This window comes from Homo sapiens, chromosome 5 (genome assembly GCF_000001405.40).
Source record: "Homo sapiens chromosome 5, GRCh38.p14 Primary Assembly".
NCBI classification, from domain to species: domain Eukaryota; kingdom Metazoa; phylum Chordata; class Mammalia; order Primates; family Hominidae; genus Homo; species Homo sapiens.
Genome location: NC_000005.10, coordinates 115414974 through 115415804, shown reverse-complemented (window position 1 = coordinate 115415804; position 831 = coordinate 115414974). Strand labels below are relative to the sequence as shown.

The 831-nt window shown below is 45.5% G+C and overlaps 1 annotated feature.

The window, feature by feature from the left end:
• Positions 469-618: an enhancer, noted in NCBI's record as "active region_22929". NCBI's record gives its function as "activates an Ori minimal core promoter by ATAC-STARR-seq in GM12878 lymphoblastoid cells {active_cell/tissue: GM12878}" and the evidence as "EXISTENCE:reporter gene assay evidence [ECO:0000049][PMID:35858748]".

The following is an 831-nucleotide window of genomic DNA, read 5'->3' as shown; positions in this document are numbered from 1 at the left end:
AATTAACCTAGTAAAGAAAAGATCCAGTGGAGAAAAGAACTGGACTGTGTTCCACGATATCACCTGGAGCCACTGGCCCCTTTAATGAGGCCGTCTTTGGCAGCCTCAGAACCCCTGTTGATGGGGAGTCTTTCAGGCTTCTTCCCACCCACAGCATCTGGGCATAGCTAACTATATCATAGAAGGCATCAAGCTATAAATGACGACTTTTTTTTTTTTTGCCCCACATTCTTGTTTAAGTTGTCAACTTGTATGTTTGGGAGATATTTTCAAATGTTTGCTTGTTTGTTGCAAAACCTCGGTAACCTCACTCATTGGATCTGTTCAGAGATGCCAGAGGAGGAAAGGGTTCTCACCTAAGACACTCAGAGGCCTGAGTGTTTTTGGGCCCTTGCCCAAGGGAGTGGGTGTGCAGCATGTTATACAGCCTTCATGCAGTTCTTTGCTCTTTTCTGTGAGTCAGAGTCATGTGCTGTTTAAAATAGGTGGTGACAGTGGGCAGGGCACTCCAAACACAATAGCAATTCATTGAGTGCATTGGGAGGGAGAGTGTGACCTTTCATCCAAAGCCTCAGCGAGGCTCCATTTGACTGTTGTAAGATCAGAATGAGCATGCAGACCCACTGAGTTGACTGGCAAAGCTTTACTATGGATAACCACAGATGCAACCGCATGCTGTGTCTTTAGGAAAATGGGAGCAAGTGGATTGTGTCAGATGTCCAAATGGTAAGTAAGCAGTCATGTACTTGTGGCTCAGCTTCCCTGAGGAAACTGTACTAAGTATGTACTTACCTAAGAATGCACAAGCTCACTAATGCAGCTCAAGTGGGG